The following is a 12,799-nucleotide window of genomic DNA, read 5'->3' on the forward strand; positions in this document are numbered from 1 at the left end:
AATCTGATGGTAAAAATGTGGACTCCTGAAGGCAATGGGAAAGAAATGAACTCAGATTCTTTACTGTGTATTTACAAAGACTCCAGCTTCTGGAAGTTTCCACAAGTGCTCTGTTGTGGAAGAAGGAAATAGAGGTCCTTTATATGAGGGAGGAAAAGTCCTTTGGACGGGCTGTCTTGTGATTGGCAGTGTGTCCTAGGAAACTTGAGGGAAGCCCAGCTCCTGGGAGGCCATGGGTGAACAGCCTGCCAGAGTCCCTAGCAAAAAAGAGCTCATTTTAAGGGGTATCTTAGGAATTGCTGAAAATGTGGCTCATAATTTAGCATGGTGTTTTTTTTAACTATGCAAATATGACACTAATCAACAGACTGCACATTATTTGGGCATCTCACAGGCAAGCAGAGAGCCTGGAGAGATGAAGCGATCACCAGGGAGTGAGACGAGAGTTCATGTGGCCAGGGCTCTGGGCTGGAATTCCCACACTTACTCCCTGCACTGCTGCCTTGTAAAACACCTACGGGGTCCTCCCAAAGCAGAAACCTCCCGGATGGGTTCCTTTCCATCAGCTTTTTACATGCAAGGCACTCCCAGGGCTGCTGCCCACCAAGATGCAGTACCAGGTGTGCCAGACACTGGGGAAGGGGACCTGGAAACAGCCAGAAAATAAAACAAAATAAAATGCAACAAACTGAAATCTTCAAAAGGTGATATTGATCTGGGAAAACAGCCCCACTTATAAAGTTTGTGTTGGGAAAGGTAAACAATTAGAGGTAAGAAGGAATAATTTTTCTGAAAGGAAATAATGATTACATTTAAATACCTACGAAGATAAAGATTCAAATAAAGAACCCAGGAAATTAGATGCGTTGGAATTAAAATGTTCAAATAAATCCCAAGAAAACTTGAACAATCTTTTTCTTTCTTTCTTTTTTTTGAGACAGGGTGTCACTTTGTCACCCAGACTGTAGTGTAGTGGCACGATCTCAGCTTACTGCCTTCTCGACTTCCTGGGCTCAAGAGATCCACCCTAGCCTCCCAAGTAGCTAGGACCACAGGCGCATACCACCACACCACTCATTTTTGTGTGTGCGTGTGTTTTCTGTAGAGACAGGGTTTTGCCATGTTGCCCCGGCTGGTCTCAAACTCTTGAACTCAGGCAATCTGCCGGCTTCGGCCTCCCAGAGTGCTGGGATTACAGGCTTGAGTCATTCGGCCCGGCCTGAACAACACTTTCAACAGAACACCACCTGAAAAAGCTATTTCTGAGATATTCACCTCCAAAGCATCAATTTCTAAGAAGAACTGTTGAAGCAGCCTTGCTGAAAATGGGTCCTTAATGAACCAAACTCTGCAAAAGAAAAGCAATGGGAAGTATTTTAAGTGTCCCAAGTCACAGCCATTGTGAGATGAGATGGATGAGCTGGCATGAAACTCACTGAGACCCAGCCCCAAGTGAAAATTACTCTCTTGCTCCAACGAAGGAAGAGCACTCCTCTGTGTTCATTGCCTCTTCAATCTTAAAGTGTCTCTTTTCTCTTAGGAAGGAAAGACGGATGGAGAAGGGGAGGGAAGGAGGGATGGAGAGAGCTTATCCATTCCACGGATTTCTGACAACCAAAGAAAAGCTGAATCAGGAATCTGGTCCTGGTCCCACTTCTGCTACTAATAGCTATCTTCTGTAGCTCAGTTTCCCCACAGAGGGGGCTGCCACGGCCTGACTCACAGAATACACAGCAACGAAATGTGTTTCGTGATCTGAGAGAAAAGGCCCAAAGAAATCCAAGTTTTCTGATGGACAGACGTGCTTGACCTCCACACTGAATCCGACGGACATTTTTAAAAGACCCAAATGTTTTATTCTGGGCTGTTCCGTTTTGCAATATTGTACATTTTGAGATGGATGAAAGATTTAGTAAAAATGAAAACAGTGTCCAGATGCAGTGGCTCACACCTGTAATCTCAGCACTTTGGAAGGCCGAGGCAGTAGGATCACTTAAGCCCAGGAGTTTGAAACCAGCCTTGGCAACACAGTGAGACCCTGTCCCTACTAAGAATAAAATTTTTTTAAAATAGCCAGGCATGGTGGCACATGCCTGTAGTCCCAACTACTCGGGAGGCTGAGATGGGAGGATGGTTTGAGGCTGCAGTGAGCCATGATTGTGCCATTGTGCCACTGCTATCCAGCCTGGGTGACAGAGCAAGACTCTGTCTCAAAAAAAAACAACAGTTACTAATTTCCAGTGACATGGTCACCAGCTTTGGTATTTTCACTCTCCGGAGTTTCACAAAATTCTCCAAAAAACTTAAAACCAAATTTATTTAAATTTTAACAAAAATGCATGTGACCCATTGTCACGGGCTGGGCCATGTCCCTCTACCTCCCAGATTCCTGTGTGGAGGCCCTAACTCCCACTACCTCCAAATGTGACCTTCCATGGAAGCAGGGTCCCTGCAGAAGTAGCTGGTTAAGGTGAGGTCATGCTGGAGTGGAGTGGGCTTTATGTGATCTCATAAAATGGGGAGATTTGAACACAGACATGCACACAGCAGAACAGCACTGGGACGCTGGAGCTCTGCTGCCACGAGCTGAGGAACTGGGAGCTCTCCCAGAAGCTGAGAAAGAGCCCGCACAGACCCCTTCCGGACACCTTCAGGGGGCGTGCGACCCTGCTCACACCTTGACCTCAGACTTTGGGCCTTCAGAACTGGGAGGCAATCATATTCTGTTGTTTTGGCCACTCAGCTGGTGATACTTTGTGATGGCAGCACGGAAGCCGACTAACATACCAGCTGGGGGATGAGGTGAGCACACAACAGCAAATCCAACAGTGCCCTAAGGCCACAGCTCTGTCGTGACCAGAACCCGAACTCCAAGAGAAACCCGGCGCATAGAGATCTTCACTGACACCTTTTCTCCACAGGGACCAGTCAGGGCAAGAGGGACATCATTTCAGCTGCAAATGGCTTAGCTTCCAAGGTGCACAGAGGCTCACAGAAGCCACTTTATATACTGGCAGCCGGCAGCTTGGTCCCGAAAGGCATTAAGGTGCCTGGGGCCCAGGCCAGCCGCCTTGGCAGGACGCCCTCAAAGCCTCATTTCCAGCCCAGCAGCGTCGTGACACTCAGAACCGTAACAGCAGCTTGTTTTCAAAAGAAATTATTCACAAGGAAGAAAAAAAGGCTGAGTACAGAGTAAACAGCCTCTATTATGAAAAATAAATTATAAGCTAGGAGAACATTTGTAAAAAGGAGCTATTGCTTTGCAGTCTTCCCAACTAAGCTTTTCATCTCACTGGTAGGAAAAGTCATTGTGATCTGGACTGCCCAGATTCTCGGGACGCCCCCCAAGTCTTCCTACATGTTGTGAAGGCTTCCCAACTTTAGAGTATAAATACAACACCAGGCAAATGCTTACTCATTTTAGTTGCATGAATTTCATACTTAAGAAAGTGCAGGCCGGGCGTGGTGGCTCACGCCTGTAATCCCAGCAGTTTGGGAGGCCGAGGTGGGCGGATCATGAGGTCAAGAGATTGACGAGACCATCCTGGCCAACATAGTGACATCCCATCTCTACTAAAAATATAAACATTAGCTGGGTGTGGTGGTGGGTGCCTGTAATCCCAGGGAGGCAGAGGCAGGAGAATCGCTTGAACCCGGGAGCCAGAGATTGAAGTGAGCTGAGATAGCGCCACTGCACTCCAGCCTGGTGACAGAGTAAGACTCCACCTCAAAAAAAAAAAAAAAAAAAAGAAAGAAAAAAAATGCACACACACATACAAGCACACACAAAAAACAGAGAGAAGTGAAAATGCTGAAACACCTGCATTTCCTTCTCAAGTCACCCATCTTATTTGTCCACATGTAACATTACCCAGGAGTTACCACAGTCGTATTTAAAAAACAACCTAGTGCTAACCAGCCTTCCTGGTTGGGAGTCCCTCTGGCTTGCTGGTCCTGCAGAAATGGTAAGACCAAAGCTGCACTCTTCACTGACTTACCATACTACGCAATAATTGTCAATTAAGCAATTCGTAGGGATTTATTTAATTTAGCCTCAAGCCAGACATATTGGTTCTAAAATTTATTTCAGTTTTCATAAGCCTAATCATATAAAAAGTCAACGAATATACTATGAGCAGCCAGGATCTGGAAGATTGGGCACATGCCATTTCCCCCATGCCATACCTCACCTGAAAGATCTTGGCATCATATATACCACTGGAATTCATGTGAGCAAAGATGGCCATTGTAATGGTTAACACTGTCAACTTGATTGGATTGAAGGTTGCAAAGTATTGATCCTAGGTGTGTGTGTTGGTATTGATCCTAGGGTGTTGCCAAAGGAGATGAACATTTGAGTCAGTGGGCTGGGACAGGCAGACCCACCCTTAATCTGGGTGGGCACCATCTAATCAGCTGCCAGCGTGGCTAGAATATAAAGCAGGCAGAAAATCATGAAAAAACTAGACCGGCCTAGCCTCCCAGCCTCCATCTTTCTCCTGTGCTGGATGCTTCCTGCCCTCGAACATCAGATTCCAAGTTCTTCAGTTTTGGAACTTGGACTGGCTCTCCTTGCTCCTCAGCCTGCAGATGGTGGGACCTTGTGATCGGGTGAGTTAATACCTAATAAACTCCCCTTTATTTTATATATATATATGATTACAGGCTGGGATTACAGGCGTGAGTCACGGTGCCCAGCCGGCACGTTCTTAAGTATGAGATTCATGCAACTAAAACCGATAGGCATTTTCCTCGTGTTGCATTTATACTCTAGAGATGGGAAGCCTTCACAACATATAGGGAGACTTGGGGGTGTCCCGAATAATATATATATATATATATTCCATTAGTTCTGTCCCTCTAGAGAACCCTGACTAATACAGCCTTCAAGGAAGATTTTTAAAGCAAAACAAATATATTTCAAGACTTTGAAAACAATTATGTTCTATTGAACCAACTCAAGTACTTTTGAAAACAAAAATATGTATATTAGCATCTGTGATCTGAATATGGAAAATGCCTTTTAAAAAACCCGGTGTGAAGTCTATGGAAGCTGTAGAGACAGAACAACTGGCTTCGAGGAGAAGTGAAGGGTAGGGTGAAGCAGCCCGCAGCAGTAGCATGCAGGTTTGACTGATGTGCTTGTTGCATTATAATAATGGGCAACATGCGTTACCTGGTTAAGAGTGGACCACAGCAAGAAACAAGTATATAAAAATGACTAAAGGGTGGAAAGAGTGACTTTAAGAGGATGGCTCTGTGTTTACTGGACTTGGGGAGGGAACTGGAACAACTCCTCTTGGAGGCTGGTATTAGGAGTTAAAAATTAAACATAGGCACCAATGGGACTTAGCAAATTCTCAAAACTACAGTAGCTGCTGTCTCAAAATATAAATTATCAGTAAAAACAGTATGTATAGGAATCTTCTGGTTAATCTGTGGAATTGATGTTCTACTCCTGGTGAAAGTAGTTGAAGTATACTCAACTACTTCAGGTAGTTGAAGGTCACAGATAAGAATAATAACTAGGCCGGGGGCAGTGGCTCATGCCTGTAATCCCAACATTTTGGGAGGCTGAGGCAGGCGAATCACCTGAGGTCAGGAGTTCGAGACCAACCTGGCCAACACGGTGAAACTCAGTTTCCAGTGAAAATACAAAAATTAGCCAGGCATGGTGGCGGGCGCCTGTAATCCCAGCTACTCGGGAGGCTTAGGCAGGAGAATCGCTTGAACCCAGGAGGCAGAGGTTGCAGTGAGCCAAGGCAACAAGAGCGAAACTCCAGCTCAAGCAAACAAAAAAAAGGAATAATAACTATAGTGGCATAAAATTCTCTTTAATAAAAGGTGAAGTTTGAGATATGGTGTGTCACCTGATGCCACCACTGAACTAGGCTTCTGAGGAGAAGAATGGAAGACAGGAGAGCTTCCAATGTGAAATGTTAAGTTTCCAATTGCAAGAATATGTCTAAACTACAGGCCCCGAAAGCCCTGCTTTGGTCCTTCTGCTGGCACAGGCTGGCTTTTTTCATGCTGTCAACTTTAATTTCTACATTTTTTTTTTAAATTCATGCTTGCTTACCTTGTCAGGAAAATGTCAGAATAGAATGAACTAGCCAAACTTGGCACACAGCTGTGCAAGAGAACTTTTTTTTTCCTGAAGTATTTAGCTTAAAGAATGACTAGAACAGTAAAAATTACCGGAATAACTGTTTCTGCCTCCGTTTTTGAGATGTGGAAAGAATTATAAAAGCAAAGTCATGGAAGGAAATCCTTAGGATAATAAACCAGCAAAACTAAAAGACTGCCACTAACAACAAACCCAGTATTTTATCTTCACCTGTCCTGTTTGATCTCAAAGGGGCGTTAAAATTCCTTCTATGAAGAGGTGAGTCAGAAAGCACAGGCGTGGAAGATCAGGTCACCACAGAAGCAGACAGAGCCAGAGAGAGGTCCTCCGGGGGCTGGACGCCAGGCGTCGGTACGGCAATGAGGAAGGGCCGTCTCAAAGACCAGCCTGGCCAGAGTCGCACTAGCTGTGAACCAAACGACAGGCTGCGCCCAGTCAGAGGGTGGAAGGTGCCCCGCGGTGTGCTGAGAACTGTGCTTACGTTTCTCAACATAAAGCGGAGCATTGATAAACCCCAGAGAACAAGCTGTGCGGCGCTGACCACGCTGTGCAGGGCTGAACGCACATTAGGTGCTTGATAAATGACAACTGATTAGTTGCTGAGGGAATTTTTTAAAGAATCAGCAAAACGATGTGTGTATCTGTGTGTGTCTGTACATGTGTGTAAGGATAACCCATTGATTTCCTGAAAAAAAAATTAAATTACAGAATTTTCCAGTCCTCACTAGCCCTTTTGACTGAGTTCTTCAATCATCCAAACAAAAGAAAGTGTTGCAGTGACCACAACCCATGGGGGCGTCTTGAGATGGGGAGGGCTCCTGTGAGTTCCTGATGTCTCAACAGGGCCAAGCAGAGGGCTTAGTCCACATTCAGTCTTTGGACAAGATTCTGCCAAACAAAGGAATGTTGGAGGCTTTGAAGGGTTGGAAGCCCTCCGCTCCCGGGGTAGAGGTAGGCCATAAACACAGTGGATAAGACCCAGAGGAACTGACTTCCCAGTACGAATGCAGTGATAATTCGTTTTGTCAAACTGTTACGGGGCAGAAGAGTGACTTTTTTTTTTCTAGTTTTAAATGAAAATTCTACAAGATGAACATGGATTATATTAACAAGAACACTGGTAAAGAAATTTCATAGCAGGACTTTTTTTTTTTGAGAAGGAGTCTGGCTCTGTCTCCCAGGCTAGAGGGCAGTGGCGAGATCTTGGCTCACTGCAACCTCCAACCTCTGCCTCCTGGGTTCAAGTAATTCTCCTGCCTGAGTCTCCCCTGTAGCTGGGATTACAGGCACGTGCCACCACACCTGGCTAATTTTTGTATTTTTAGCAGAGACGGGGTTTCACCATGTTGGTCAGGCTGGTCTCGAACTCCTGATCTTGTGATCCTCCCACCTCGGCCTCCCCAAGTGCTGGGATTACAGGCGTGAGCCACCGTGCGCGGCAGGAGAACATTTTTTAAAATGTCTCTTTAATATTAGTATTTCTTGACAATAGTTCAACCTAACCTTGAATTCTTATACTAATTTAGGGAATAAAGTAAGAAGTATTTCTTGTAATGATATATTACTTGTTATAAAGGAACCCTTTATTTTTTTCTAATACTTCTCCCACCCACCCCCTCATACCCCACAGAATTTAGTTAAGTGGATTGCACTTCTCTTGCTGAGGAAGTGTTCGGAAAAGCCCTTTCTGGTTCTCTACCAAGTCCCCAGGGGACCCCTCTCTACACCTTGGTGGGAGGCATGCAGCCTGCAGAGTGGCCCCTGTACAAGCTCCTGGCCCAGGCTGGAGTGGGCAGTGGCTCTGCGGCGGATGCTCACACCTCAGCAGAGGCCTCCCTTGCCTTCCATACATCCCATTCACTCCTAACCCACTCCAAGCTTCCACATGAGACTCCCCAGCCTGGGAGAAGGGCATGGGCCAAGAAGCAGCTGGGCTGGAGGGAGCTGGTAAGCAGGGGCAGTGAGTGACCAGTGTGGGCCCCGTGCTGTGCGGCCATTGAACAATTTTGGGTGGGAAACCTCCTAAGGCGCTCCAGGAGGCTAAAGATGATCAAGATTCCTCTCAGGCTAAATTTGATTTAAAGAAAAGAAATGAACAGTTCCTGTATACCTTCATTTATGGGCTGAGTGTCCTACCTACAAGGAAGCGAAAGGAGACACAATGGACCATGGCCGGGGAGTTGGCCTTGCCTTGAACGTGAGGATGCGGCAATCAAGCCTCATGAGTTTCTTGGATAATAAAAATACATGTGAACCAGGCAAGCCTGAACACCCTTGATAATGAGGGAAAGTTCCTTTTTGCAATTCTTTTCAGCTCTTGTATCTGATTCTTAGCATGCAGTATCCACAATGGAACTTTTATAATGGGTGTGGTTCTTCAGGCCAGCCTCTCACCTCCTCCCTGGGCGGGCTCCTGTAAGTGGGGTCCACCTGGAGCCCGACGCAGGAGCAGCAGCAGTCAGGCTTTTCCGCAGCATTCCATTGCAGCACGTGTTCTCAGAAACCTGGATTCCTTTCCTAGAAAAATACTGAAGTCTTGGCTATTTAAAACAAGCTAAATAGCCTTCTGATTTGTTTATTTCATCCAGCATTTTTTAAAAATCTGGCTTGATTTTCTTTAAAAACAGTCTTGTCTCGTGATGTGGATGTTTTTCTGCCCCACAGCTGATTACCGCAGCCTTTTAGATGGCACTGCTGTCAGCTGAGATACTTTTTCCTTCTGCTTCAGTAAAAATAGATGAATTCTGATTGGAGCTTGTGGAAGTTTCTCTGCATTGTCAGATGCTGATCCCCCATCAATATAAATCTTTGCCCTTCTTAAAAAATATTTTCTAATGAACTTTTGAAAAGCTAGAGGAAAAGGAAGTGCTATAAATATCCATGAATATATGTAATTTTTTAAATCTCTGGATCGTGTGCATTGCTTATCTGATAGAGCAGATCTGGGGACATGGCTGGAGTGAGATGGGATGCCCGTCAGTCACCCCTCCTCTTGGGAGTGGGGCACAGTGGGGTGGAGTGGGTGGTCAGCATGAGTCTGGCCAGGAACATTTCCATGGAGGCCCACGTGACACATGTGAGCCCCAGGACTTGGGGAACTCTGACCTCCCCTCTTCTGCGTCAGCCTTTCCCCCTCCCCTCATGAGCACAAAGCCCCCAGACCTTGGAAGGCATGAATACAAACATGCACTAGACCAGCATTGTGCCAGAGACAAAGACAACTCACCTGAAACCAGAGATTCCTCCAGCACAAGCGAAGTGAGGGCTGACAGACGTGGCTATGGAGGGCTCTCTCCACTGCCCAAACGGCGAGACTCATCCACCTCCTAAATCTCAGCCAAGGGAAGTAGGTCCTTCCCTGATGCTCCTGAGACTGCCCAACAAATGGTCAGAACTGCAGCCTCTTTCAGGCAACCCCTATCACGCCAGCCAGGTTTTTCTTATCTGTAGTTACCCTATAGGTAAAGGAAATAGATGGGCAGGGCTGCTTCTAGCAAGATAGCTCTTTTTCATAATGACTGACAAGCTAATATAGCTAAAACGAAATTAATAAAATAATGTCCATGGTTCCCTAGTATTTATAACTTCTGTACATTTTCATTTCACAGACCGTTCATATGCCCAGGTTCCTTTGCACCTGGTCTGGACAAAACAGACAAAAATCTTTGCCCGGGTTCCGTTTTAGTTGGAGGAAAGCAAGAAAAAAAAAAAAAAAAAGAAGTACTGGACAGTGTGTCCTGAGGTGGGCAGAGAAGGTGGATGGAGCATGTCGGGCAGGGGTGGGACCTTAGCTGGAGCGGCCAGGGAAGCGCTCACTGAGATGACATCAGCGAGGACTCCAGGCCAGGCAGGGGACTTGGTTGTGGTGTCGGGCGGAAGAGCAGTCCTGGCAGCAAGCACAAGAGTCCGAGGCATGGGAGGGGGACACCTGGCAGGTGCAAGGAACAGCAGGGGGTGAACGTGGCTGGTGAAGGGTGAGCAAATCCAGAGGAGCAGGAACTACAGGGAAGAAATGCCTGCAGGGAACATACTGTCTTGTAACAGCATCTTAAAAATGTTTCCCATCTTTTAAAACATAGCCTAGTGAAAATGTTTTCCAATGTTATAACAGCCCTCAAAATTACATTTCTGTGTAAGATTCCATTCTATTGACATATCTTCATGCATGGAATCATTCCTCATAGGGGAATATTTTTGTTTCAGTTAACATCTCTGTGCATAAGGCTTTTGCCCTATGCTTAGGACAAGCCCCCAAATGCGACCTTCCTTGGTAAATGATTATGAGCATTTTTTACCTCATAAAATAAAAAAAAAACACCCTAAAATACAGTAAAGTATGTTTTAACAGAGGGTCCTCTTACAAATAGGAAAAATGAGCTTTGCTTCTGCGAGTGATTTTTAAAAAGTGACCTGAAAGATCTTCCCAACTCAAACATATTTTCCATTTTGATCTTTTATTATGAAAGCTTATTGGGGAGTATTAAAGGATTGACTTACTGACCCAAATAAATTAAGAGATGCCACATTTCTGGCTAGGAAAACTGAAAAGTTTAAACATGTGTATTCTACTAAAATTAATCTGAATTTCATTGTGGCTATAATCAAATCAAACTGTGATTTATGACTTAAGAAAATAAGCAAGAGTTTAAAACTAAACAAGAATGAAAAGGATAAGAATACCAGGAACAACACCTGCGCTGCCAGGTGTAATATTTATAGAAACTTTAAAGGCACACAGATGAAAGTGGAGTGGGAGCAGAACAAATACACATAGATCAATGGGAAAGAACAGTTCAACTCGTAACTAGGGTAAATATATATGGACTTAAAATGTGGTAGAAAAATACTGTACACAAATTACAAAGTGACAGAATTTTTATGAGTGTTGTGTTGTGGGGGATATTGGCCATTTGGAAAAAAAATTAGTTTAAAATCTTATTTCCCAAATACATAAAATTAGGGATAAACTCTATATTGTAAAAAATGTGAAATCATAGCAAGAAGAAAAAAAGGTGAATATTTATCTGACTTGGTTTGAAAATAACATTTTAAGCATAAAAAAAGGAATAAATTTCAAAAAATTGACTAATAGATATGTCTACATAAAATGTAAAGAGTGTAATTAATATTCCAAAGTAACATAAAGGTTTGCAACAATCACTTTTTGATAACTTATGTAATATAAGATTTGAAATAAGTGGACAAATATACATCTTCATCAATGTGAATATATTTATAAAATCTTCCCTTTCCTTTTTGCTTAGAAACAAAAACTTACCTTTCTACTGATTTGGGAGGAGGCAGTCTTTTTTAAAAACATGAAATCTAAGCATTATCCGTATATTTCATTATGTGTCTGTATACTTTTGATGTTTTCTACTACTTTTTAATGAACCATCTGTCCAAAATTTATTTTCAAAATTGAGAAATCAGTAATTGGGTGAATTATAGACTCGTTTTTTTATTGCATTATTGGTTGTGATTTAACTGTTGCCATCTGAGCTAAGGGCTGTGAGAAATGAGGAGGCAACTGCAGGCTAGCAAATCATGTCCTCAACAAGCAGCTCAAGACAATCAGGTGGAATGTAAGAGCAGTCCTGAAATCCGTGGTGTTTTTGAGAAGCCAGAAATGTGCATTACTTTGTAGACTTGGAGGAAATTTTCAAGAGGATAGAAAACACGCACACACACACACACACATTCACACACAACTAGATTCAACTGAGTCGGATCAGAACAAGAGCAGACTAGAACACGATACTCACAAGAGCTAAAAGGATAGGGAAGCCAGCGGCCAGCATTTGAGGCGATGACTTGACATACAAACGTAACCACGTGAATAAAGGGAAGGTGTTAAGTCCAGGTATGGGGAAGAGCACAGGGCTTGGAGTAAAATGACTGAAAACTCCACACCCTGGCTCCGCGATTTCATTAGCATGTGATCTAAGTGGGTGGCTTCCTTTCTCTGACCTTCTCTTTCCTCCACAGAAATAAGAGTATTAGCATTATCATCAACAACAACATCAACCACATGTGTCTAATACCACAGCCCCAGGGTGATCAATGAATTTCCCTACCACCAGGGCTGAGCTGGCAGAAGGAATGTTTCCCTCTTAAGCTACGAGCAGCACAGAAACCAAGGAATGACATAAACCCAGAGCCCAGGAAGGAAGGGCATGCCAAACGCCTCCCGAAAGCTGCTCTGTGGCTCCGAAGGGCAGGGAGCTAAGTGCATGGAACACCTGGCATGAGTGGGGAGGAGTGGGCTCTACTGGGCCGAAAAAGCATTGTTCCCAGTTGCTGGTCTTCATGGCTTGCTGCCACCTCGTGAGTGGGAACATCAGCTGGGTATAGAGTGACAGAGATCCTTCACCTCTATCAATCTCACCAAATTGACGCAGGGATCAAATATACTTGTGAGGGTAAGGAGTTTTTGAATATCACAATTAACTATACAAATATTAATTTGTTCTATCATTATTGGCAAATGATTACTCATCCATCAACTTTTATCTCAACATTTGCTTCTTCTGGAGGCTTTCCAGTATTTTTTTCAACGCCATTGTGTATGGCTGTGCAGGTATTACAGTGCACAACTCTAGAGGGCTACAATGTCAGTGGTGCTCAGCACTGCCCTGTGTACAGCCTACACAGTTGTATGCAGAGCCCTGA

At 44.3% G+C, this 12,799-nt stretch overlaps 1 annotated feature.

Moving 5' to 3' along the window:
• Positions 8,261 to 8,461: a silencer, noted in NCBI's record as "peak6317 fragment used in MPRA reporter construct". NCBI's record gives its function as "represses an SCP1 promoter by STARR-seq MPRAs in K562 erythroleukemia cells {active_cell/tissue: K562}" and the evidence as "EXISTENCE:reporter gene assay evidence [ECO:0000049][PMID:32103011]".

The sequence above is a fragment of the Homo sapiens genome, chromosome 6 (assembly GCF_000001405.40).
Source record: "Homo sapiens chromosome 6, GRCh38.p14 Primary Assembly".
NCBI lineage: Eukaryota > Metazoa > Chordata > Mammalia > Primates > Hominidae > Homo > Homo sapiens.